Source organism: Homo sapiens, chromosome 7, assembly GCF_000001405.40.
Source record: "Homo sapiens chromosome 7, GRCh38.p14 Primary Assembly".
Lineage (NCBI taxonomy): Eukaryota > Metazoa > Chordata > Mammalia > Primates > Hominidae > Homo > Homo sapiens.
This window is the reverse complement of record NC_000007.14, coordinates 111930051-111956575: the sequence shown is the minus strand read 5'-3', so window position 1 is coordinate 111956575 and position 26525 is coordinate 111930051. Positions and strand designations below refer to the sequence as shown.

Genomic DNA, 26525 nt, shown 5'->3' with positions numbered 1-26525 from the left:
AACCTCTTATCTGTAGCTCTCTGCTTAGGAGCAAAAGGAAAGGCAGCTTCTTGCGTGACTCAGCTTTCAGCTTAATCTTCTTCCCTTTGGCAGAGTGAATTGGGGGTCCCAAGTTTTTATTTTCCTTTCACAGACATAATTTCATGAAAAAAAGAAAATCTCTCTAAGATAGTAAATGCATGAACGATTTATTATACTTACTGTTTTTGCAGGGCTTGAATGACATGGATTTTTATACTTATTCTGTGTTTATTTATGGCTTTTCTGCCTTTTTAAGAAACTGCATGCTTCAACTCAGAGTACTTATAAAGAGCTCAGGTTTACTTTACTTTAACTTTCCTTATTATAGACATTCCTAATGAAAAGATGTTAGAAAGGTCAGAATAATTTCTGAATATAGATCAGAGTGATTCTTTTCTCACGAAATGTCAAAGATACAGTGTTTACAATGATCAAATGATATAAATTCCCAGAATGATAAGCAGAACGCATTCTGCCTACATAGAGGCTTTCTCATTTCATGGTCCCTGTTTGTGTTGACCAGATCCTCTCTGTGCCTACTTTTGGTTACTTCTCTAAGGAACTCATTTTTTAGTGAAATTCTTAATGAGTTCTCCAGAGAGAGACTCAAGCAAGTATTTTTCTCAGTTTAGTTATACAGCAGGCCTTTTTCTAAGGATTTTACTTGAAACGAACTTCAAGATTTCTAAGGTCTCAAGTCTTCTGAACTTAAAGTCACAGCTGTTTTTCTTAAATCAACAGTCAGTCAAAATCATTTCTTTAATTCACCAATTGCTTAATCTGGTAACAGCACAGAAGATGTGAAACAGCAGCTGATCTGAACATTATTTATAATTTTAAAGAGTATTATATTCCTTTTTTATTGAATTTTACCTTCCTAAAAACTCTTTCCTAAAATTTTACCTTTCCTAAAAACAGAGATATTTGTTTCAGATATCTTTATTTTTCTGCAAAGACAAATAGCGTGACGGAGAATATTGTACACAATAATCATCCTGACTAGTAAGAAAGAATTGGCTTGTTATTCAAAATTGGCAATGGAATTGGCTATAGTTTAAAAATATGTCTCCTGTTGTGTCATTCAACTAAACCCAAATTCTTTATGTGCCAACAAAGCCATCACATCATTTGGCTGCATAGTCCTCAACACTCAATTATTTGTAAGGTGAATATGGGCTTGAGCATTAATATTTTTAAAAGAAAACATCATCTATCTCCTCTTTAAGTAAACTCTGGAAACAGTTGTATCAGAGATCTTCCTCTTTCCATTTCCCTTTAATCAGAAGAGCTCATGACTCTAACTTTGCTTTAGTTTTAAAATTAGAAAGCACATTAATAATCTTATCTAGGAAGACTTGCTTGAGAAGTTGCTTTCATTTATTGCCAAGGAAAAACTCTGTCATTTGTGTTCTCATGTGGTTGGGAGGAAGAGGGGAAAAGTCTTCGACCCTAAGATACCAGGCGTACATTGCCTGTTTTCTGGTATACATGACTATCATAAAACAGTCAGCAATTCTGATTAATTAAGACTAGGGCTTTTGGGTAAAAACAGTGGTCCTTTAACATGGCTGGGCTTTAAACAAACAGGAAGCTTTTAGGTCCATCCTGACCCAGTCAATCAGGATCTCCAGGGTGGGGCCTGGGCTTTATACAGCTCACCAGGAGAATATTGTACACAATCAGGTTGGTGCGAGGCTCTTTGTATCGGTTCGAACCCTGAGAGCACGCCAACAAACAACACAAGGCAGTGTGGAGCAGTACCCTGTTTTAATGAGCGCCTGGGTGCAGACAGGCCGAGGCCTAAAATGGCATCAGCCCCATGTGAGGACGGGGCAGGGGTTTTATAGCCCTCTGTAAACAGGAAGTGTCCCAGTCTGACATGACAGCTACGTAGTACCCGGACAGTCTCCCTCTCCATCTTCAGGGGGTATGTGTCTTCCGGCCACCTCTCTTCCTGCTTCTGCTATCTTGCTGACGCACGCTGCTGGGTCTTGCGCCTTGGGACTGGGCCTGAGGAGGGAGGAGTTATTCATTCCCTTAAGCTTTCAGGCCCTGGGGAGAATCTTTCAGTTGGGAACCACTGAATTAGAAGGCCCTTGGGTCTCTTCTGTTTACCACTGATCATTCCCTGTACATAGGGCATCTATTCGAATGTCCTTCATCTCTGCCATCATAAGCACCAAAGCCCCGTAGTCCAGCGGCCACTGCAGAACTGCCAGCACACCTTCCAGCTGCTTCCCAAAGTATCTTGCCTGGACAGAGGTAGCACTGGTTTCTTGGGGGCATAAATAGAGCAATTTATAGTGCGGCCTGAGCTTTTCTGAATTGTCCTTTGTTATTCTAGGCGAGACCACAGTAACAGCTCTCTTCACAGTTTTGGGAAGGAAAATAATTTTTTCTTTAACACTCATACATTCTTAGTTGGAATGGTCCTCTTTATCAAAAGACAAATTAAAAAGAGAAAAACAGAAGTTTACTAACATGTATATTTCATACATAAATGAGATATATTAATACATAGGGAATGAGAAATTCTCAAAGAGGTGGCTTTGAATTCCAGCTTATATAGTGTCTTCAAGAAAGAACAGTACATTTTGGAGAAATGACAAGACCAAACAGGACTTGAAGTCTCTAGGGAGGCAACTTCTAGGAAGGCAAATAACTGGCAGACAAAGGCTAGTTGATAAAGAGTGTTGGTAGGGATACCTCTGGTGCCATCTCCAGGCCTGTAACGTTTAAAATTGTCATCTGTGGTTAACCTTTGTTCTCCCTGGTAGAAGAAGGGGCAGGCCCATGACCATGCCACCCTGAATGTGCCTGATCTTGTTTGATCTCAGAAACTAAGCAAGGCCAGGCCTGTTAGTACTTACATGGTCTAAGAGAGGCAAGATTCTTTTTGTTTTTGTAAATCTATGCATTGCCTTTAGGCAATTAGAGGGAAGGCAGAGAGCTTTACAGCACCTACTTCTTAATTGCCTTTAGCTCAACAATTCTTATGCCAAAGAAGTATATTTTGGGGTGCCGTATTCTGGTCTCCCACAGCAGATTATTGGACATATCTTACACTGTTAGGCAATCAGAAAACATTTGACAGAATGCAGGAGAAGCAGTGAAATAGAAACAATTCAGATCACCTTACGTTTGTATTCTATTGCCTTTTAGGGAGAGGCTCTAGGGTCAGCACTGCACCCTGGAACCATCCTCTTAGCTCTTCTCATTATTCCTTCGTCCATCTTACCACCCCTTAGCTTCTGGTGTGTCTCCCTTCACACCTACTCAGTGTAGAATGGGTATTAATTGTTATCCTCACACTCTTCAAACAGCGTAGTTAATTTTTTTTTTTTTTAAGACAAGGTCTCATTCTGTTATCCCAGATATCAGCTCATTGCAACCTCTGCCTCCTGGGCTCAAGTGATCCTCCCACCTGTGTCTCCTGAGTACTTGGGATCACAGGCATGCACCACCCCACCGGGCTAATTTTTTAAATTTTTTGTAGAGACAAGGTTTCACCCTGTTGCCCAGGCTGATCTTGAACTCCGAGGCTCAAGTGATCTGCCTGTTTCTGCCTCCCAAAGTGCTGGGATTTCAGGCGTGAGTCACTGTGCCCAGATTAGCATAGTTCAATTTAAGACAAATGACTGCTTTTTCAGATATGCTACATGGGATTTTTGTTTTTGTTTTTGTTTTTGTAAAATTGGTTTGAGTATAAAAAAAATGACAGTTGTTTTTCCAATTAGTTTAATAGAACATGACCGTCTAAATGTGTTCTCTGTTGTTATTGTTCTTCTTGGAGACCATAAATCTATTTCAATGATATTTAACTGTTGAAAATTATTTTACAAGCGTTCTTTGTAATTTTTTGTGGATTGATTAGCTTGCTAATCTTTCTCACAACATGTTTCAACCGAAGATATTACCCAGTCATATATTTTTGGATAAAAGTACATGTTGTGTAACTTTCATGCTCATTGAATCACTAGACAGTTTTACTTCTTATGTGAGGTGAACTATAAAAGTGATAAATATAAATCCATGCAGAAAGATAGAACAATTTTTATGTGAAATATAAAAATATATTTCATGTAAAATGTCAAAATTTTTGATATTGGCCTTCCCAACTGAAGGGTTACTTCTACTGAGTGGTTTACAAGGAGGCACAGAGGACAGAAGCATCCTACTGAGAAACAGAAGAGAAGCCATCAGGACCTTCAGATCCCTACTGTGCCTCCTATATTATTTGCATGACCAGGAAGAACATTTCTACCACACTATGCTGTGAAACACACTTGTCATCATTAGAGGTCTTTTTGAGTACATCAGAATATCAGTAGTTCAACTGAGCAGTTGGTCACAGGTGTAATTTCCATAAACACAGATATGTTGTGGCTTTTTGTTTTTTTCATTTGGCTTCATGCAGTTTTGTTTGTTTATTCATTTATTTGGTTGATTTTTTTTTTTTTTCGCAGACAGGGACTTTGCTATCTTGCCCAGACTGAACTTGACCTCTAGGCTCAAGTAATCCTCCTGCCTCAACCTCCTGAGTAGCTGGGACAACAGGAGTGTGACACTGTGCTTGGCCATTTGTAATTATTATGTTTTAATTTTATTAAGAATATTCACACAAAAACTCTTGGTTTGTGTGACATAGTTAGTTTTGCTCTTCTTTGTCCATTTCTTTCTTTTTTTTGAGACAAGGTCTTACCCCTGGAGTACACCCCACTGGAGTACAGTGGTGCGATCATGGCTCACTGCAGCCTTGACCTCCCAGGCTCAAGCAGTCTTCCCACCTCAGCCTTCTGTGTAGCTGGGACTACTCAGCTACTGAGTGCCTGGGATTATAGGAATGTGCCACCATGCTTGGCTAATTTTTTTCTTTCTTTCTTTCTTCTTCTTTTTTTTTTTTTTTTGGTAGCGATGGGGTTTCCAATATGTTGACCCAAGTTGGTTTTGAACTCTTGGGCTCAAGTGATCCTCCCACTTCAGCCTCCCAAAGTGCTGAGATTACCAGTAGTGAGCTACCATACCATGCCTTCTTTGGTGCTCTGAGGTGCCCTGTTCTTTCAAAGAGAGGGTTGCATTTTGGTTAAAAGGTGAGACTCTCAAATCAGACTCTGGAATTTAATATCCTGGCCCCATCCTTGACTGACCACACAACTTTGGCCAACTTATCTAATATCTCCTAGCTTCTGCTTTCTCACTGGGATGACAAATGGGCACAACAGTGGTTTCCACCTCCTACTGTGGTGAGGAGAATTAAATGAGAAGAGCTATGTAAGGCATAAGTCATAGGGTCTGGCACAGGGTACACATTTGCCTTTATGATTTTTTCCAGGAATGCTTATTTATGTTCTTATTTCATTATCCTGATTTCATCAAATCATTGTTGGAAGAAGAAAGGTTATAAATAATAAATAATTGTGGTTTGTTTTTCTTTATTTCCAAAGAAATAGTCATTTTTGATTTATAGTATCATGATTTATAATGACTCATACATGGAATTCAGGTGGACACTAAATTTCTCCTGCGGAGAGATTGCCTCTGGAAGAACATGGCAGTATATGGGGAAGTCAAATAATGAGTTTTCTCTGCTGTTAATAATACCAACTCTCATTTCTCAGTGTTTCTAGAAATGTTCTATTTGCTTATTCATTCTGTAAGAAGAGGAAGACAGTATTCTCATTTGAAAACATATCAGTATAGTTTTTTATTACTGTATGTTGAATATAATAAAGATATAAAATGTTCATGAGGACAGCATTAAATGGAATAATCTGGAATCTGGGGTGCCACGAAGTTAATATGAGAATCTCGAGTCAGGTCGTGAGGCATCATGGATTGAAATATCTTTTTGCAGAGTTTCATACATTTCCCTACCATAAAGTAAAGGACATAATGGGAAAGTTTGGAGAGAATTAAAACTTTCCAGTTATTTGAGTGTTATTCTATTTTGTCCTAAAAGATTGTATTTGGTTAGTCTTATCAAACATCTAAGAATACCAAATCATTCACTAGGAGTTGAAGATACAAAAAGGTTAATACTCATGGGCCTGTATTCTAGTTGCTCACCATGTAATAGGAAAGAAACATATAAACTTCTCTTCCACTTAGGAAAAAAGTCTAAATGATGTATGTAATGGAGGTATGCATATCTTGGAAGGACATTTTTTAAGTTTACAAAAACTAATTTTGTCATCTGATCATACTTACCACAGAGTTGCGATAGAACAGACTTAGAATAGACTGTCAAAAACATATTTCTGTGTGGCCACAAAAGTTTGCACAAAATATTTGGAGAATTTCAGAAGATGTGCCAGAATGCAATATTATTGGCCAGGCACGGTGGCTTATGCCTGTAATCCCAGCATTTTGGGAGGGTGAGGCAGGCAGATCACCTGAGGTCAGGAGTTGGAGACCAGCCTGGCCAACATGGTGAAACCCTGTCACTACAAAAAATCTAAAAATTAGCTGAGTGGGGTGGCATGCGTCTGTAGTCCCAGCTACTCTGGAGGCTGAGGCAGGAGAATCACTTGAACCTGGGAGGCGGAGGTTGCAGTGAGCTGAGATCGCGCTGCTGTACTCCAGCCTGGGTGATAGAACGAGACTCCGTCTCAAAAGAAAGAAAGGAAAAAAAAGAATGCAGTATTATTGACTTGTTCAGTTTTTTTCTGGGCGTTGAAGGCATACCTTCTGATATTCTCCAAACATTTCAGTGTGGGTGAGTAATAATAATCCAAAGATTCCAAAATACGTTAATATAGGTCTTTTTTTGTCCAAAACCATTTGCTGAGTGATTAGTGGCTGTATCACTAAAGCAGAAGATAAATTGATTTGAGTTGGCATAACAATAGCATGTCATCAAATGAATAAAAAGAATTTTTTTTATTGGCCATAGATGTTTTCCTTTTTTTTTTCTTTTTTCTTTTAAAAGAAGTCTGGCTTTTAAAAGAACTGTACATGACTTATTTCTCCATAGTACCCATTTTCAGTCTGTTTGTATCTTCCCCTTAAGGCATGCTTAAGCTAAGGTATATGTCATTGGCTTAGGACATATTGATATTCTTTCTGAAACAGGATATGATATAGTATAATACTTGCATAATCAGGATTCTGTGTAAACTAGTGAAATTAAAATAGTGACAGAGCAAAAAGGATCTGTTTCTGCAATAGAATACTTTAGGAAACATTGTTTTCCAGAATTTTGATGAAATGTACAGATATGGAATTGGATTTTATGTCAGTGTTAAAGTTAAGGTTTTAATATTGAAAATGCCCTATTGACTTCTGTATTTTAATCTTATTGGTGTCCATCTTTTTAGACTGACCAAGATAATGTGAAATTTGCTTTGAATGTTTCTGTAGAGGTAATGAGGAGCTTCAAACCTCATTACATCTCAAAAAATATAAAGTAGAACATGCTGTCCATGATATAGGAGAAGGGAAAATGCTCACATTGCTTATGTTTTGTGCTAAAATGTAATCAATAAATACATTAGTAGGTAACTGATTACTAAGAAACAGACTAAATATCATCCTTAAACCTTAGCAGTTTCGACTAAGTAAAGCTGAGTTCTTAAATCTTTTTGGAGTTTTGTGTTTTGTGTTTGTTTAATAAAATAATTTGTTTCTCAAGTCTTTTTTTTTTTTTCTAAGCATGTTTCGTTAAAGAAAACTACTGGCTGGGCGCAGTGGCTCACACTTGTAATCCCAGCACTTTGGGAGGCCACCTGAGGTCAGGAGTTCGAGACCAGCCTGACTAACATGGTGAAACCCTGTCTCTACTAAAAATGCAAAAATTAGCCAGGCGTGGTGGTGCACACCTGTAATCCCAGCTACTCAGGAAGCTGAGGCAGGAGAATCGCCTGAATCCGGGAGGTAGAGGTTGCAATGAGCCGAGATCGCGCCATTGCACTCTACCCTGGGCAACAAGAGTGAAACTCCGTCTCGGGAAAAAAAAAAAGAAGAAGAAAAGAAAACTACCAAAGAACAATTTCAAACCAAAGACCTCTTTGAAACCTGCTAAATCAGGATTCTCACCTCTTTCATTCCTCTTAACCCAGGAAGGGTATGGAGAAAGTTACCTTGAACTCTTGGGATCAGGCTTGACTGCTGAGTGGGTCAGGCAAATGATGGCTTTTCCTTTATCTCAGTATTCTGGAAATATTTACTCGATATTTCTATAGAGAAGAAGAGAAAGTTACCTTATAGCATTCTAATGGAGTGCTAGGGTTTTGAATTAATACATGGAATAGAATCCTTGCTCAGCCACACATCATCTCTGTGACCTTGAGTAAAACTATTTACTATTTCGCAGTTTTCCCATATGTAAAATGGTCATTATAATAGTACCTATTTCCTAAAGGCATAGTGAGGATAAAATGAGATAATTTATGTAAAGTCCTTGGCAGAGTACCTGTCAAATGGTAAATTCCCAAAAATGTATTACCTAATAATATGGTTAAAGTATAATTCCTTTGTCCCAAGATGAATTCTTGCACATTTCCTTTTCATTGTTTTTAAATTTGAAATAGTCCAGGCCTGGTAGCCCACGCCTGTAATCCCAGCACTTTGGGAGGCCAAGACGGGAGAATCACCTGAGGTCAGGAGTTTGAAACCAGCCTGGCCAACATAGTGAAACCCCATCTCTACTAAAAAAAATTACAAAAATTAGCCGAGTGTGGTGGCACACAGCTGTAGTCCCAGCTACTCTGGAAGCTGAGGCAGGAGAATCGCTTGAACCCGGGAGGCAGAGGTTGCAGTGAGCCGAGATTGTGCCACTGTACTCTAGCCTGGGTGAAAGAGTGAGACCTCCCCCCGACCCAAAAAAAATTAAAATGATAAATTTGAAATAATAATGAATTTTATTTTCTTTTACTGTGAAGAGAGCTTATAGTCATTTTCCTTGAATTATAGTAAATGACAATTGGATAACATTAATTTATCTCTGCACCCTCAGTATAGGTGTCATTCCCAGCCTCCAGTTTGGAATAATATCACATGTGAACTTTAGCTTCAATTGAGGATACTTACAGCAATTTTTATTCTCTTCATGCATGCCTTATTGGCCATCTGTTTTCTGGGAAAAAATATAGGTAATAAGAGTGAAAATGACCCCATAGAAATATGTATTGGCTGCCCTTTCTCATATGAGAAGTCAGCAATAGACATAAGTAAAAGATGAGATAAGCCAGGTAGTTGATTCTGTTAAACGTATCTATCTAGACTTAGATCACCAAAGAGAATAAGTGTTCCAAAACAGCCATAAATTCAAATTCATGTGCTTCCTTAGAGATCTGTTTATGGTTCTCATATCTCCTCTTATATGTATTTGAATGACAGAACCATTATTTAAGGCAAGGATCGGGTGATAACATAGAGGCTTCCTTGGTTCTAAGCCTTTTATTAATGTCCTGCTCTCCATTTCCCTGCTTGTTCCCTAGACTGAAGCTACACTGACCAAAGCTACAGCATTTTACATTCTGTAGATGTTGGTTGTGTGCTCATTGCCTGAGACAGCCAACTATTTAATTCTGTCATTGATACCAGGATATTGAAATTCAGTTAAAATTTGAAGCTCACAGTAGCTGGTAGATTAATTTTTTGTGGGTTTATATTTGTTTTATTTTGCTGAACATAAATAGTGTCACACATTACCTTGGATCTAAATGGCATCCATGGCTTGGTGCAATGACTCATGCCTGTAATCCCAGCATATCGGGAGGCCGAAGCAGGCAGATCACTTGAGGCCAGGAGTTCGAGACCAGCCTGGCCAACATGGTGAAATGCTGTCTCTACTTAAAGTGCAGAAATTAGCCAGGCGTGGTGGTGTGCACCTGTAATCCCAGCTACTGAGGAGACTGAGGTATGAGAATCTCTTGAATCCAGGAGGCAGAAATTGCAGTGAGCTGAGATCATACCACTGTACTCCAGCCTGGGTGATAGAGCAAGACTCTGTCTCAAAATAATAATAATAAATAAATAAATGGCATGCATAAGTATTTATTGCTATGAATTAGTGGCTGATCAACAGCATTATTTGTGTTTTCATTAAATCTAGGTGGCACTGTATTTTCTTTTTGGTTATATAGGTGAGAGGTTTCTATGTTGCCCAGGCTGGCCTCAAACGCCTAGCCTCGCCTCCTTATGTGCAAGGACAACAGTTCTGAGCCACCGCAGCTCCCGGTGGCACTGTATTTTCAAATGCAAGTTTAGTGGGGGTAGTTTGAGATCTTCTGTTCGTTTGTTGACCAAAGAAAATTTAAGTTTCATTTTTGAAATCTCTACTTGTGTTACAGATTGGAGACTTATAAGACCATAAAATATGAAGCCTTCTAATAGATAGTTAGCACTCAAAATATCTTTAATGTTAATTAAGTAATGTGACATAAAACATGAAAAAGAAATCTTAGTTACAGACACATGAAACATGTTATGTCATATTTTTCTCTTTTAGTGCATTTATTTCTACCTCTTGGAATAATGATATTACTGATATAAAATTGTATTCAAGTCTTTCAAAAGTTAATGTCTGTTTGTATATAGGTGCTTTCTGCTTTTGTAGTTGCTGCTTTGCCAGTTTTAACAGAAGTGAAGCAAATATTTGTTGTCTTCGGAGCTCTCCTAATTTATATAAGCAATGTTGATGTTAAATGAACAACCTAATATTTAGCTTACCTGTTGTGATGAAGAGTAGTTACAGAGGGATAAATCTTTAACTATTAAATAATTTTCAAATTGTTAAACATTTTTTCTCTTGTAGTGAGAGATTTTTCTTGAGGCTGAATAGAAACGGGCTTCCCAAAGCCCCTGATAAACCGGAACGACATTGCTCCCTCTTTGTGGTGAGTGGATCTTGTTTCATTCATAAGGCAGATTCATCCAGTTATGATTCATACTATTTAGGAGAAATAAATTACTGTGAGAGAACATAGTGAATTTGCTTTTAAACTTTATGTAAATAACACACAAATTACATTAGTGCCCAGAATTCTGAATATCACCTCCCAGGATTACTTTCATTCCTTTAGTGTATTACTGCTTCTGTTATACTATTACCAAAGTATAACAGTGATTGCGGGGCACGGTGGCTCATGCCTATAATCCCAGTACTTTGGGAGGCCGAGGCGGGTGGATCACCTGAGGTCAGGAATTCAAGACCAGCCTGGCCAACATGGTGAAACCCCGTCTCTACTAAAAATACAAAAATTAGCCAGGCGTGGTGGCAGGCACCTATAATCCCAGTTACTCGGGAGGCTGAGGCAGGAGAATTGCTTGAACCTGGGAGGCAGAGGTTGCAGTGAGCTGAGATCGCACCACTGCACTCCTGCCTGGGCAACAAGAGCGAAACTCCATCTCCAAAAACAAAAAACAAAAAACAAAACCAGTGATTGCACTCAGCAAGACACCTGGTATTTAGTATGTGCTTAATAAATGTTTAAAGAATGAATGAGTGAGAGATTGAATCAACAGTGCTCTCTTCTTTAAAGTATTACTTGGTATCAATTGACCTAAGGTTGATTGTAATGATATTTTTAGAACAGGATTTAAATCATGTACTTCTGCTACAAACATTCCATTAAGAATGTCTGTGTCCATCTCTTTCTTCTTTTATTTGTGAAAATAAAGTGCTATGCCCTTTAAGTGCCGCTCATGTCTTCCAAAATAACCAAACTTTCTTTGTTTGTAGGATTTGGGCAGCAGTGAGCTAAGAAAGGACATTTATATCACCGTGCACATTATCCGAATCGGTAGGTATAACACTTGTCAGTGCAGTAGGGGCAAGGAACAGAGAGGAGAAATGCCAAGAGGTTTCTATGTTGTTGTGATTTATTGCTGTCTGAATCAGAAAGATATCAAAGCCAGATTTGAATCCAAGAATCACAGAAGTTGTGAATTGTCCCCAGACCTTCCCAACCCCACATATGACCTCCTCACCTACCATAAACAGATTCTGGTCTCTTTTAATATAAGTAATTAAGAAGTTTGTTGTGTTTCATTTTGTTCTGCTAGCCTTCCTAAACATATTTGATTCAAAAATTCTGTGTTTGTCTCTTAAAATTCTAATTTCTGTTAGCATAAATGAATTTTTCAGAGCTGAGTTTCCTATAAGTTAATGAAGGCTCTGTATAAATTGGCATTTTCCAAAGTGCAGAATGCTTCAGAGCGTTATTCCAGAAGGTGCTACAAAAAAAAAGCCTGTGAAATACTGAATACTGAATTTTTTTAACTTATATAATGTCATCAGCTTATTAAAGGGTCTGAGAAGTCCTAAAGGGAAAAATAAATATGCCTGTCTAACTTTGTTGACCCTAGTTTTCCTCAAATTTGATCTGACTATGAAAACACTTATATAATGTAGCACTTATTAACATCTTGCAGAACCCACTTTAATGTTCTGTGATGAACTTGCTCAGTGAAGCCAGAATGTGTTCCCTCATTTTTACACATAAAATGCCTCTAAAAACAGGCATTTTATGGCAGAGGAATTAGGTGAAATGAGGACTGGTGTAACCTACACAGTTTTTCCGTTAAGTCTAATCAGTCATTATTGGGAATTCATTCCCACTTCTTCACTAACTGTACTCCATTACTTGCCTAGGAATACTTCTGTGAGATAGTAATATCTTGCCATGTAGTCCTGCAAGGTGATTTATTTTTATAGGCTTTGGTTTTATGTACACGATAACTGCATTGTGCATTGAGTGAGACTATAAAAAACATACTTTTATTCCCGCATAGATTTTCTGTATGTTTTTTCTCATAAAAATCTATTCTGAAAACCTGTTTTCATTTTATGCTATTTTTGTATTTGAAGGACAGTAGAAATAAAAAATAGACAGTTTTTGGTTTTGTTTTCATTTTTCTTTTTATAAATGAGTCTATGAAAAAAATTGGAAAGAATCTTTGAAAAGGTTGGAATAGTTAGAACCCATGCTGCTGTTTTCTTATGAGATAAAGCCTGTCTGTTCTCAGGATGGCAGAGGTAGTTTGTCATTTAGTCTGTGTTTCTTTAAATTCAAATGTAATACCAATGGTTAAAGTAAAATGTGGTTTTATATATCTTCATGTAAACATTGCTAAAATTTTAATATAATCTCTGACAGCAGTAAGAGAAAAAGTAAACCACTTTTGCTTTCAGAACTTTCTCCAAGATATCTATGGATTTGGGGTGGTAAAAAAACATGCAGCAAAGTGAGTATGTGCCTTCTGGCCCATGGACTTCACTCACAGTGTTATTGCCAAGGAAGCCGCCTCAGTAGTACTGCCCATCACAGGGCAGCCTTTCAAATGCTTGGTGTTTGATTTGTAATTGCACTTTTTATTAACATTGTTATGGTCATTAAGTCATTAAAATGAATGTTGAGTCAGAAATTACCTCCCTATCTTTGTCTTCAGTTTTGGGCAAATGAATACTTCTCTAGGATTATTGCAAAAAACATTTACCAGTTCAACATTTTGAGACCGAAGGAGAAGTGAGATTAAGGTAAAATACACTAAGATAGGTTAAGATTTAGTCTGCCAGCTCCCTTGATGGAGTGAAATTGGTGGCAGATCATTGTCTTTCAGGGTGTTAGAAATGCAAAATGCTTGTTCCTCAGTGCCACAAAGAAATAGCACTCAAACATTAATTTTCTCAGCAAGGCAATTTTTACCTTCTGCAGAAAGGGTGCCTCTCACAGGTGGAACAATGGTAAGAGCACACCTGGACAGGGGAGGGGAAGGAGTTCTTATTCCTGACGCAGGTAGCCCCTACTGCTCTGTTGTTCCCCTATTTGCTAGGGTTGGACGCACAGTCTAAGCTAATTCTGATTGACTATGTTGAAAAGAGCAGGAGTATAAGCCAGAGTGGCGGGGTGAGTAGTTTGGCAGGAAGGATGGTTAGAAACAGGTAACTAAAGGTAACTTAGGTCAGAGCAGGTGACCAGGGTGACTCAGGTCAAAGCAGGTGACCGGGATGAGTCAGGACAGAGCAGGTGACCAGGGGAACAGATGTAAACTACTGATCAGAACTGGCAGGAAAGTTTTTTATTGAAACTAGAGGCAAGGCGGTGAAGAGAACCAGGAAGTTAAACTTTAAAATGGAGAATCAAAGAATAAGAGAGCTGAACATGCTGACATACTGATTATTTGAAGAGAAACTTGGCGTTCACTATATTTAACAAGGGACACATACTTCTTACAGAATGTCTCTTGTACCTATTTAGTAGGAAAAGGGCATGTTGGCCATCACTGGCTGCAGAAAGCAGGAGCAACAGTACCTCACTTCTGGGAATTTAAGTCCAGCTCTTTAGAAAGATGGAGAGGAAAAAAAAAGAGAAATTAATAGTTTTATATCTTCCTGCTCATGCCAGGAAGTTTCTTCAACCTCTATGCCTCCCTTTTGACTTTTGGTTGATTGCTCAGTACTTTTCCCTTCCCCCACTCCCACTACCTTCCTTCCTACTTAGAGAATGTGCTAGAAATCTGATCGGGTTTCCCAAAGCCCAGTCAGAACTGTGAATTCTTATTAACTCTAGGGTTGGTGCCACTGATCTGGCACCAAAACATCTTTCCAGTATAGTAATTAGAATGGTGTCTAAAGCCGTGGCTTAACGTTAAACTTGCATGTTTGAAGACATGAGTCAGGTGGAGGTTTGGGAGATAAGCTTCCCAGGGGTCACAAGTGACAAAATCCTTGTTGGAGAGTGTTAAGTGGTTGTGAGAGCTACACTTCTCCCATCAACCTTATTCCCTTATTTTGCCATTCCTTCTGTCCCCTACAGTTTTTTTTCTTTAGTGCAGCTTTAGATGAAGGGGTTGTTTAAAAACAAACAAACAAAAAAGGATTGAAATGTGTGCATGCCCTTGTGTAAACTGTAGGAGCTAGCAGAGTCATTAGGAATAATCTTGTTTGCAGTTTCTAGTTTTTTTTTTTAATAAGGAGCTTCTTTCTGATGTTAAATAACTTTGAAGTGCTCCACTCAGAAATCTTATCCTTTTGTCATCTTGTATTTGCAAGGAAATGATTAAGAAAAAAGCATGTTTTAAACCACGATATTGATAAAGACTGCCATACATATTAATATTTCATCCTAATACATTCTGTAATATTATTCAAAATAGACATAAATTGAGACCTTTTTTTTCATTTAAAAAAGTGACCAAAGTTTTAAATTTGTTTAAATCAGTTGTGTAAGTAAAAGTAGGATTGGTTGATAATTAAATTCAAGTATGACATAAAGTGTTCGGTTTTCAGACAGAATTTATATTAAAATTATGTAGAGTGAAATTTGGCCATACATATGGCATCAGGTCATGACAACCTGATATTTTAAATTCTTACATTTTGCACATCTGAAAAGCAGCTGGCTTATTTGGGCCATTTTTTAGTTTGATTCTAACTGATAAAATAAGAGGTTTTCGGGCTGTGTTTCCCTGAAAGTGACATCTTGCAGAGGTAGTTTTCCTTTACTACTGATGAATGAAAGCCAAATTGGATATTGTCATCCCATTTTTTCCTGCTTAACATTGGATTTTGGAATTGCTGGAGATATCTTGATGTGCTATAGGAGAATTTTGCTCAGATAGAAACAATTTATGGTTGTGTTGAAAAGCACCTAGAGACAAATTTGCAGATTTTTAAAATCATTTTTTCCCACATTAACTTGTTATATTTCAACTTCAGTGTACTTTTTGCTTTTTGTCTTCAAAATAATCCACTGATAATTAAATACCAACAATACATTAAAACAATGTATTAATAACATATTTTTAAACATGTAACAATTTAAACAAGTTAAAACTTTACAACAGTTAAAACCATTTTGGTGACAACTGAGTTCTGAACAGCCTGAGAGCTGAGGCAGGAGCATGCACATTTGATCACCTGTGCTTACTTGCTGTACTTCAGACAACCTCAAACTACTCTAGTCACAGGTGAAATTTTTGAAATAGTTTTTTTGAATATGGAATTTGTTTAAAAATAGAAAATGGAAGAGTCACCATTACTGCCTTTAGTGACGTGAACTTCCTGGGATGCCTTCATGAATCTCAGGGGCCAGGGGATGGTTCCCAAACATGGGATCTGTTCCAGTCTTTGTATTTTACAGATGGCAACTGACGCCCAGAATTTAAGCTGCTTACCCAAGGTCACACAGCTAGGTGACTGGAGAGGAGAATCCAGAACTGAAGCAATATCTTCTGTTACGCCCAACCTGGGTGCTCTTTATTGCCCAATTACATTTCAATGGCCTATCTTATAGCTGTATGTTTCGCTACCTAAGATGCATCTAATCAAATGGCTCCATGGGTTAATGATTGCTCTTTAATTGAACAGGTCGAATGGGAGCAGGAGAAAAAAAGAATGCCTGTAGTGTCCAGTACCGACGACCCTTTGGCTGTGCAGTTCTTAGCATCGCTGACCTGCTAACAGGAGAGACAAAGGATGACCTCATTCTGAAAGTATACATGTAAGAAACATGCACGTGGTGATGGCTGGGGTAGGCACAGGGGTACATGTGGGTCCTACTTGGGCGAATGCTACTTTAGGTGGGTAGAGAAGAACAATGGGTGGTTTATGAGCCATTCCTCAAAAACCCAGTAATCTGTAGACTTGTTGCAAGTGAGCCTACAAGCCACAATTTGCCAGTCAGAGGAATTACTGAATTAAGAACCAATGAGTACAGACAGTTTACCAGTTAGGTAGACCGTCTACTATGTGGGATACCACCTTTGAATTTATAAACCTAGCACGTCTTTACCTTCAGACAGTCAATGTGTTCTTGGAAAGTGAAAGTACTTTTTGAAGTAAATTTATTAGAATTGGGGAAGGGAAGCCCAGATGACTTCCATCCTACTCTAGGTGTTAGTTTGCTGGGCCTGCCCTAACCAAGTACCACAAACTGCATGGCTTAACCCATTTATGCCTGAGGTTGCAATTTTTTGAAATTTTTGCAATCCTATCTCGGCGATGACCTTGAGCAGTAGGATATAAATAACTCCACATGCTTAGCATTCCAATAATGGAACACTAGGCATAAGTAAATTTTTTTTTTTTTTTTTTTTGAGAAGGAGTCTCGCTCTGTTGCCCAGGCTGGAGTGCAGTGGTGTGATCTCAGCTCACTGCAAGCTCCGCCTCCCGGGTTCACGCCATTCTCCTGCCCCAGCCTCCTGAGTAGCTGGGACTACAGGCGCCCGCCACCACACCCAGCTAATTTTTTGTATTTTTAGTAGAGACGGGGTTTCACCGTGTTAGCCAGGCTGGTCTCAATCTCCTGACCTTGTGATCCACCTGCCTCAGCCTCCCAAAGTGCTGGGATTACAGGCGTGAGCCACCACCCCCAGCCCATAAATAGATTTTAAACAATAGAAATGTGTTGTCTCACATTTCCCAGATGAAGATATTAGTATAGTTGGCTCCTTCTGAGGGCTGTGAGGGCAATCTGCTCCGTGCCTCTCTCCTGGCCTCCGGTGCTTTGCTGGCAGTCACTGGGGGATCCATGGCTTGTAGACGCGTCACTCTGATCTCTGCCTTCATCTTCACATGGTGTTCATGGCTTTCTCTGGGTCCAATCCCCCACCCCCCCAACTTTTTTTTTTTTTTTTTGAGACAGAGTCTCGCTCTGTCACCCAGGCTGGAGTGTAGTGGAGCAATCTCGGCTCACTGCAACCTCCGCCTCCCAGGTTCAAGAGATTTTCTGCCTCAGCCTCCTGAGTAGCTGGGATTACAGGCGCATGCCACCATGCCTGGCTACAAATTTCTCCTTTTTATAAAGATACAGTCATATTAGAGTGTGGTTCACCCTAATAACCTTCTTATATGATTATCTCTGTAAAGACGCTCTTTCAAATAAGGTCTTATTCTGAGGTACTGGGGGTTAGGACTTCAACGTTACCTTTGTTGGGGGATACAGTTTAACCCATGGTTCTCTACTAAGACAGTTACTTGATATATTCCAAATCCTAAGTTAAATGATTTTTTTAAATGCACATGGGTTTGGCCCACACCACCGTGCCACCTCCCCACAGGCTTGGACGTTGAGGCCTAATATACAGCAACATCTTCAGAGCAGACTTATTAGGGTTTCCACACTCCTGGTTTGAGGACCACACCATTGGCTACCTCCATGAGTGAACTGGCTTTCGTATTCCATTCTGGAGGTTGTGTTAATATACCTAATATGTGCCAGTAGATTTTTCATAGGTGATGGTAACACAAGTGGCCCACTGCCTATGGGACATATACTTAAAATTGCCTTTTTGACCTCTGCTGCAGGGTTTCATGGATTTTTCTACTCTCCATCCAATGGGACCTATGTAACACATTCAATAATTCATTGACAAAGATTTATCTATAGTCTGTGGTTTAGGACCGGTAACTCTCTTCATCCCTCTTAAAAAGGAAAACACCTGTGATGTTGATGTTAAACTTGAAAACTTTTGGTGAAATTAGTGGGTGGTAAAAGTTGCTACTCTTTTTATCACATAGCAACCCTCAATTTCAGTGGTTAAGCTTAAATCCATGATACCCTTCTTTCCATACTTAACTGGTGGTCATAAAACGTAGTTTATTTGAAATGCTAATGACTGATAATAACCACCCTTTACTGTGTGCTTACTATGTGTGAGGAACTGTGTTAAGCACTTTGCATGTGTCGTATCCTTTTGTCCTCACAACAAACCCATGAAGCAGACAGACGCTCCTACTCAGTTTTACTCATAGGGGAACGAGAGTTAAATAACTTGCCCCATGTTGCCTAGCTAATAAGAAAAGGAAGCAGATTTGAGGTCAGGACTGTCTTGCTCCAGCATCTGAGCTCTCCAGTTAATAATTTGTATTTTTCCAGGTGTTATTTCACACCATAGTCTAGTAAGGTGATGATGCTGCTGTTATGTGGCTTTTTAAGCAAACTGAAATTCCTCACAAACACACTCTCATCATTTCTTAAAGTAGTCTTTCCAGGTGTGAGTAGCAAGTATTGTATTTATCCTGTCAGTGGGAAAACAGAGGGACAGACAGTCCCATCATCACCCTTTATGAGGCAGCCAGCGGAATAAGACCTATGCATTCCAGCCCTGCCAATGGGAGACAGTCACACTCATGAAGACAAATTGTTCTGCTCTTTGTGTTTTTTTTTATTGTCTGCTTTTCCATAAGCATCAAATAAGGTTTTGGGTAATTCTTAATAGAAGATAAATTCCTGAAAAATGCCCATTCAGCAAATAGTGATGCTGTTTCAAGAGTAATACTAACCAGTCAAAACAGTCACTGTAGATTAGGAAGGAACTGTGAATTTAGTCAAACATGGGAAAGTGCCTGTTAGAAAAAATTGGGGAGAAATTTCTATTTGATAAGGTGACTGAACCCCCAGCCCTTCTGGGACTCAAAGAACAGTAGCAAATGCCTGCCTGAGCCTGGAAGATACTTTAGTCACATACTTTAGGAGCTTTTGTTTGTTTGTTTGTTTGTTTTGAGTTTTGAGTTTTGTAGGTTAAAAGCATGAATTCTGGAATCACTTAACTATCTAATAGGAAGCAAGCCATCTTTCTTTCTTCCCCACTGGGCTGAAATAAGAAAACTGGAGGCAGAATGTGCTAAATGGCAGTTTGGTGTCTTACAACTAGACAGGTGGGATGGTTTCATTCCATCTTAATTTTCCAGCCCTCTTAAGATTCGGCGCTCATTTAGATATCCCACTGTTAATTGGCTCAAAAATCACCTCCATCATGTTCATCCTGCAAAATCCTGTGGCAATAAAATAAATAAAAATGTGAGCAAACAATTATGAATTATCTGCCTCAGACTTGATCACTAGGAAACAGAACCTGCGCTGTGGGAGATTTTGATTGATAGTGTACAGAATCTTGATGTTCAGGCCTCTTGGGAGGATGCATTCATGGCTAATAAAGTAGTGAATTTACACATATGTTCAGATGAAGGAACTTTTCCCCAGCCAATCTGGGAGAGTAGTGGCAGTAAGGATGGATAACAGAACCACATGCTTACAAATCATTATGAGTTACCAGGCAGAGGGACATCCATCCATCCGTCCATCCATCCATCCATCCATCCATCCATCCATCCATCCATCCATTCATACCACTGACAGTTTTTAAGCATCCACAGCATTCAAAGTACTAAAGGAAACTCAAATATCAGCCAGTCCTAGATCCAGTCCTCAAGAACCTTAACAGTCTCCCAGGTGAACTACACCACGTAAACAAAGATAACATGACCTAATGAGTGATAAAAGCTAAGAGAAAGAGGTACAGATTGCTGTGAAAAGACGGAGAGATGCCCCATGTGGAAGATCTGAAAGAGTAATTTTATTATTCTTTGGTAAATCCTGCCAGTCTTTTGCCAGTACAAGCTGTGTTAATGTCAATTTCATTTTGCTTAATTTGCTGCATTTTGATTCTGGACAAACCTGGTCATGTTACAGTAGGCAGAGACTTGCTAATGAGAACTAATTTACTGAGCATTTATTATATGCCAGGAATTACCCTAAGCCCATGTTAGTTTAAAGTTCTAGTATATTATCTGTGTTTCATAGGTGGGGAAATTAAGACAAGAGTAAATAAACTCACCTAAAGAACATAGCTTGGTTAATAGTGAGAATTTGAATCTGGGGAGTTGAACTCAGTTGGGGCTGCCTTCCCCTGTATACATTGTTCTCTGAGATTTCTGTCTGTTTTGGGGCCACTTGTAATCTGCGAAGTGTTATCCCAGCTGCTTCTGTCATGAGGTAGGTGGTCAGGCATTACCAGATACGGACATTCTTGCTCATCCTGGGACAACCATGCTAAAACTGACAGTCAGTTGCAGCAGGTTGATGGGGACCTCAAGGAGGTACATTATAGTGGTTATAACGAAAAGGGCAGATGTACTATGAGGATCACTGCTTGACTGCATGCATCATTAAAGCTTAACAGAGTGTTAATGTTTTCATAGGTGTAACACAGAGAGTGAGTGGTACCAAATCCATGAGAACATCATCAAAAAGCTGAATGCACGTTATAACTTGACTGGCTCCAATGCAGGTGAGTGTATGGGCTGGCTGACTTTCCCTACACTTTTCGTTCCAAGCCCTTTTTTTTGTTTGTCTGTTTGGGAAGGAAATTATCAGCCCTTTGTTTTTCTGTCTATTCACTCCCTAACTTTAAAAATGCTCAATGAACATTCTGGTATGTCTTCCTATGCTATGATAGGGTTGTACTTATAACTCCCTATAAAAAATGTATTCTATTCTTGTTGAAACGAAAAAGATAATCTGAATTTGTTCTTTGGTACCAAGTCTTCATACTCCTAAGTTGTTATTGAAAACTAAAAATCAGCCAGGCACGGTGGCTCACGCCTGTAATCCCAGCACTTTGGGAGGCCGAGATTAGTGGATCACCTGAAGTCAGGAGTTCGAGACCAACCTGGCCAACACAGTGAAACCCCGTCTCTACTAAAAATACAAAATATTAGCTGGGCATGGTGGCAGGTGCCTGTAATCCCAGCTACTCGGGAGGTTGAGAAAGGAGAATTGCTTGAACCTGGGAGGCGGATGTTGCAGTGAGCTGAGATTGTGCCATTGCACTCCAGCCTGCGTGACACAGTAAGACTCTGTCTCAAAGAAAAAAAAAAAAGCAAGCTAAAAATCACATGACAAATATGATGCTTGGATTTGTGACTGTTCTGTGGAAATAAGTTTGATAAATAGCAATTTTTAGTGAGGTCCAATAAAAACATGCTTCGCGGCCGGGCGCAGTGGCTCACGCCTGTAATCCCAGCACTTTGGGAGGCCGAGGCGGGCGGATCACGAGGTCAGGAGATCGAGACCATCCTGGCTAACACGGTGAAACCTCATCTCTACTAAAAAAAAAAAAAAAATACAAAAATTAGCCGGGCATGGTGGCAGGCACCTGTAGTCCCAGCTACTCCGGAGGCTGAGGCAGGAGAATGGCGTGAACCTGGAAGGCGGAGCTTGCAATGAGCCAAGGTCGCGCCACTGCACTGCAGCCCGGGTGACAGAGCAAGACACTGTCTAAAAAAAAAAAAAAAAAAAAAAAAACAAAAACAAAACAAAACATGCTTCGCTGCCTATGGCTGGCTTTGAGCAGCAACATTATTGACAAACATACAGGTTCACACATTGAAGTTGGCTAAAAAAGAAAGTGATGCTGATTGCAGTGGCATGTGAAGAAAAATGTGTGTGTGCTTGTTCAGAGAGGAACTGAAATATATACCACTATAAGTCGTATGAGGTACATAGTATTGTACTAGTAACATATAGTATATACTACATTATATAGCATATATAGATTGCATAGCATAAATAATGACATCTTTAGGTTTGGTCAGTAGACAAAAACTTGGTGAATATTGTTTGTTCTTATCCACCATTCAGACCCACATTGAAGCAAAACAAAGTATGCAGTCATGTGCTTTAATCGATATAAAGAAACTTCAAATAAAGTAAGCTGTTTCTTGAACTGAATGTGTTGTTTTTTAAGACTGATTTTTAAAAACACCTTGAATATAGATATTTTTGTTGCAGTCCAGATCACCTGGCAATTAGGAGAACCAGAATTTAAATTCAAACCGCCTTTCTTTTTTCAGAGCCTTGCACATCTTGCTAGACCAAACTGACCGCAAAGAGAAAACCACTGTAGACAGAGCTTTGTCATTCAGTTCAGTGAGAGCCATAAGTACCTCCAACTCACACATGTGGCAACGCTTCAGACTATAATGAGTGGTGAGGTCAGTTTCCTCCTCCCTCTCCTTAGAGTTGGAGAGATAACTTGGGTTTTATTTGATGCAGATGGCCCTTTGCTTTGGACAAAGTCCTGCATCTACCACTAAACAAACAAGACACTTGGAGCACTTACTATTGAGGGCAGAATCTCTAAAAGACTCACACGAGACAGGAGAAATGAAATACAACATGGAACTACTATGTATGCTTGTCTTCTCTTTTCCCACAAAACAATTACAATTCTCGGCTGGGTGCGGTGGCTCACGTCTGTAATCACAGCACTTTGGGAGGCCAAGGCGGGTGGATCACAAGGTCAGGAGATTGAGACCATCCTGGCAAACATGGTGAAACACCCGTCTCTACTAAAAATACAAAAAATTAGCTGGGCCTGGTGGCGCGTGCCTGTAATCCCAGCTACTCCGGAGTCTGAGGCAGGAGAATCGCTTAAACCAGGGAGTCGGAGGTTGCAGTGAGCCAAGATCGCACCACTGCACTCCAGCCTGGCGACAGAGAGAGACTCCATCTCAAAAAAAAAAAAAAATATATATATATATATATATGTATATATGTATATATATATAAGTATATATGTATATATACGTATATATGTGTATATACGTATATATGTGTATATACGTATATATGTGTATATACGTATATATGTGTATATACGTATATATGTGTATATACGTATATATATGTGTATATACGTATATATATGTGTATATACGTATATATATGTGTATATACGTATATATATGTGTATATATATGTATATATATACACACTTCTCCTGATTGTCCATGGATAAAATGGTTTAATTTCAATACCCCCTCAGTAAGATAGTAGAGCTGCTATTTGTTAGAGAACACATCTTGTGGAATTCATTGGTAGACTTCCAGCCAAATCCAGTTCTACTCTAAACCTTTCGGTGTTTCTTGATACCAGTGACCATCATTTTGTCATTAAATTTACCCTAGACCTGTGCTGTCCAATTCAGGAGGCAGCAGCCATATGTTGCTGTTGACAATTAGACATGAACCTAGTATACCACTAGAATTGAGATGTGCTGTAATTGTAAAGAACATACCGTATTTTGAAGACTTGGCCCAATAAGAAGAATGTAAAATACCCATCAATAATTTTCATATTGATTACATGTTGAAATGATAACATTTTGGATATATTGGGATAAATAATGTATGCTATTAAATTTTTTTTTTTACTTTTTTGACATGGTTACTAGGGAAATTTAAATTTCATTCATGATTCACATTATACTTCTGAGTCAGTGCTACTCCAGGCTCTGTTTAAAGGCTAGCATTTTTTTAAGTTCTTATGGATCACAAACAAATCCATTATGCCCTGCTCCTTTCTTTCTGCCTATTAACTGTGAATAGAAGAGTTGGTAACCATGGTGTATCTTGTTCTTTCTCCCTATGCGTCCTGTTACCTTAATTTGCTTGCATTTGCCCTCAGTATGGATAAACAAATACCAAACTAATCCTGACCTTCTGACTTTTCACATGTAGTCCCTGACCTTCCTACCATCATAGATGTGGTCTTGACTCACCATGATATGCTGAACTGTTGGCTACATGTCTTTCCCAACTCCTTTTCATCTCCCAGTCCTTTCCCACTTCAAATATGCCTCATGCAGGACAACATTCATCTGTTATTAGGTTGTTTGAATATATAATTGTCCAAACTCTGAGGTCATACCCAATTGCCTCTGGAATGTTGGTGAAGTTCTCAATGGTAGGCTTTGATTTATATCTCTAGATAGACTCTAACATAAGTGATCCTGTATCCTTAAGGCCTGCGTTAAAGGTCAGGATTCCAGTTAAACCAAACCACACATTTCCCTCTGCTTACAGACAGGAGTCATCTCTTAGAGAGTATAGTGTAGTATTTAAGAGCTTTTTCTCTGCAAGCAGGATGTCCTAGGTTTGAATCCTCTAAGGGATATTGGGAAGATTAAAAGAAAAAATGTATGCAAAGCACTTACCACAGGACATCATACATGGTGTGTGTTTAATGTTAGCTATTATTATTGTTTACCCACTTTAAAGCCACTAGCTGAAATATTCTATCCTTACCTCTTAAGTTGTCTGTTTTCATTGTCTCGAAATGGATCCTGATTTAATCTCCTTAATGAAGACTTTTAGAATAACACAATTGGATTATTGATATGTTGGATCATTGAACCGACCCCTTCTATACTTTGTTTCCTTCATCTCCTCTCCATTGATTTGATTGCTAATATCTCTTCCTGGTTTCTTTTAACTTAATTGTTGGCCTTCTGATTAACTTCAGGAAGGAAGGGAAGCACATTCTGTTTCCTTGGGCAGTTCCTCCCATGTTTAGATGTGTCCACATGTTCCATGTGCTTTGTCAATTTTACTAGCTCCTTATTCTTACTGGAATCCTGAGTGAAACCCTACCAGATAGTGAGATCCAAACCACCCTTTTCCATGAGTCATACCTTTTCTGTTTACAGCCTTTGTACTGAAATGAAAAGCTACGTGTTGTAGCCTTTGCAAAGAATGAAAGAAACCATTGTACCATAAAGCCTTGTAAAAAGGTTTCCCCTTCCTCTGGCAGGATCCATTCCCATTTTGCAGCCTGCTGTGATGCTCAGATTCCTAGGCAACCAAATGTATGCACTTTATACCTGGCTTCTGCTACAAAGCCCTGTCTGCTCCGCTGTCCTTGTGACCTCAGCCCTTCTCTACCCTTCTCTCTTAACCCTGAGGCCCAGCCAGGCCCACGCAGCCTGCATCTATCTGCCTTCTGTTTCTCTGGTCTCTCTCTCTGATCCTTTCTAGCCTCTCTCAAGCTGAGGCAAACCCAGCCCTAAGCCTCTTCACTCTAATATTCTGCTCTAGAGAGTGGAAGCTCAGGAAGAAGCCTAAAAACTAATTTAAAGAAAAGCAAAACTTATACTCTTCCCACCAAAGCTTCCACCCTTCAGTCTACGTAGATCATTGTTCTGTATCCCCTTGATCTATATCCTTGGTTGAGGAATGGAAGTTCTGTGGCCAGCAGATAGGGATTCCAGAGCTGTTCAGCTTCATTATTGAAAGGGAGGCACATTCATGGCTTACCTCAAGATAGTGGGGGAAGCAAGAGCACAAGAAATTGAAGAGGGAAATTAGGGTGCCTAATGTTTAAACTGTCACAACAGTTAGATAATGTTGACTTCCGCTGTTTTCTCTCTGGACCACAGAATTGTTTGTTAAATGGAAGCAGTGCAGTCAAACGTTTTCAAAAGAATTGAGTTCACTCTAAAAAGTACTGTTTTTCCCCACTTTCTCCTGCTATTCCTCAGTCACTGGCACTAAAAAAAGAGAAAAAAACGCAACTTTGAAATTGGTTTCGGAAACAAATTCTACCAGCTAATTTCCAGGCCCTTTATGCTTCATTGATGTCCTCCTAGCTATTGGAGTTGTAATCTTGTCTGGTTAATAGATAAAGGGATTCACCAATTAACTGGGCTTTTTTCCCCTCTAACCTAAGACTTATGTTGCAAAGGTACATTAACCACTATCTTAGTTGAGTTTAGAAACTGGGAGAAAATTGCAAGCAATCCATTTAACTTTTTAAGATGTTTTAAAAATTGAATTACTATATCTTCACAGTTAGATATAGTTAGGTTGAGTAGTTTGAAATCTCCAAAGTTGTGCTGTTTTATGAATTTTAAATCCAAAGGCAATGTTGTGAGAATTTGAAATTCTAAAAGTATTCATTAATGTGAGCCTGGTTTAGGTTTGTTGAGCAAATGGTTAT

At 39.1% G+C, this 26525-nt stretch overlaps 1 protein-coding gene and 1 pseudogene across 14 annotated transcripts in view, besides 1 other annotated feature; both read left to right on the top strand.

Moving 5' to 3' along the window:
* DOCK4 (dedicator of cytokinesis 4) overlaps positions 1-26525 on the top strand; it is a 480290-nt gene that overhangs the window by 249824 nt on the left and 203941 nt on the right. For all 14 annotated transcript variants that reach the window (XM_047421081.1, NM_014705.4, XM_006716189.3 and 11 more), the window contains exons 9-12: positions 10778-10859; positions 11705-11765; positions 16334-16466; positions 20948-21036. In XM_047421081.1, the coding sequence (XP_047277037.1) occupies positions 10778-10859; positions 11705-11765; positions 16334-16466; positions 20948-21036 (365 nt within the window). The remainder of the gene's footprint in view (positions 1-10777; positions 10860-11704; positions 11766-16333; positions 16467-20947; positions 21037-26525) is intronic.
* Positions 2811-2923, top strand: RNA5SP237 (RNA, 5S ribosomal pseudogene 237; annotated as a pseudogene).
* Positions 3963-4501: an enhancer, noted in NCBI's record as "NANOG hESC enhancer chr7:111592130-111592668 (GRCh37/hg19 assembly coordinates)". NCBI's record gives its function as "activates a minimal SCP1, AML or CMV promoter by ChIP-STARR-seq in naive and primed H9 embryonic stem cells {active_cell/tissue: H9 hESC(naive and primed)}" and the evidence as "EXISTENCE:reporter gene assay evidence [ECO:0000049][PMID:30033119]".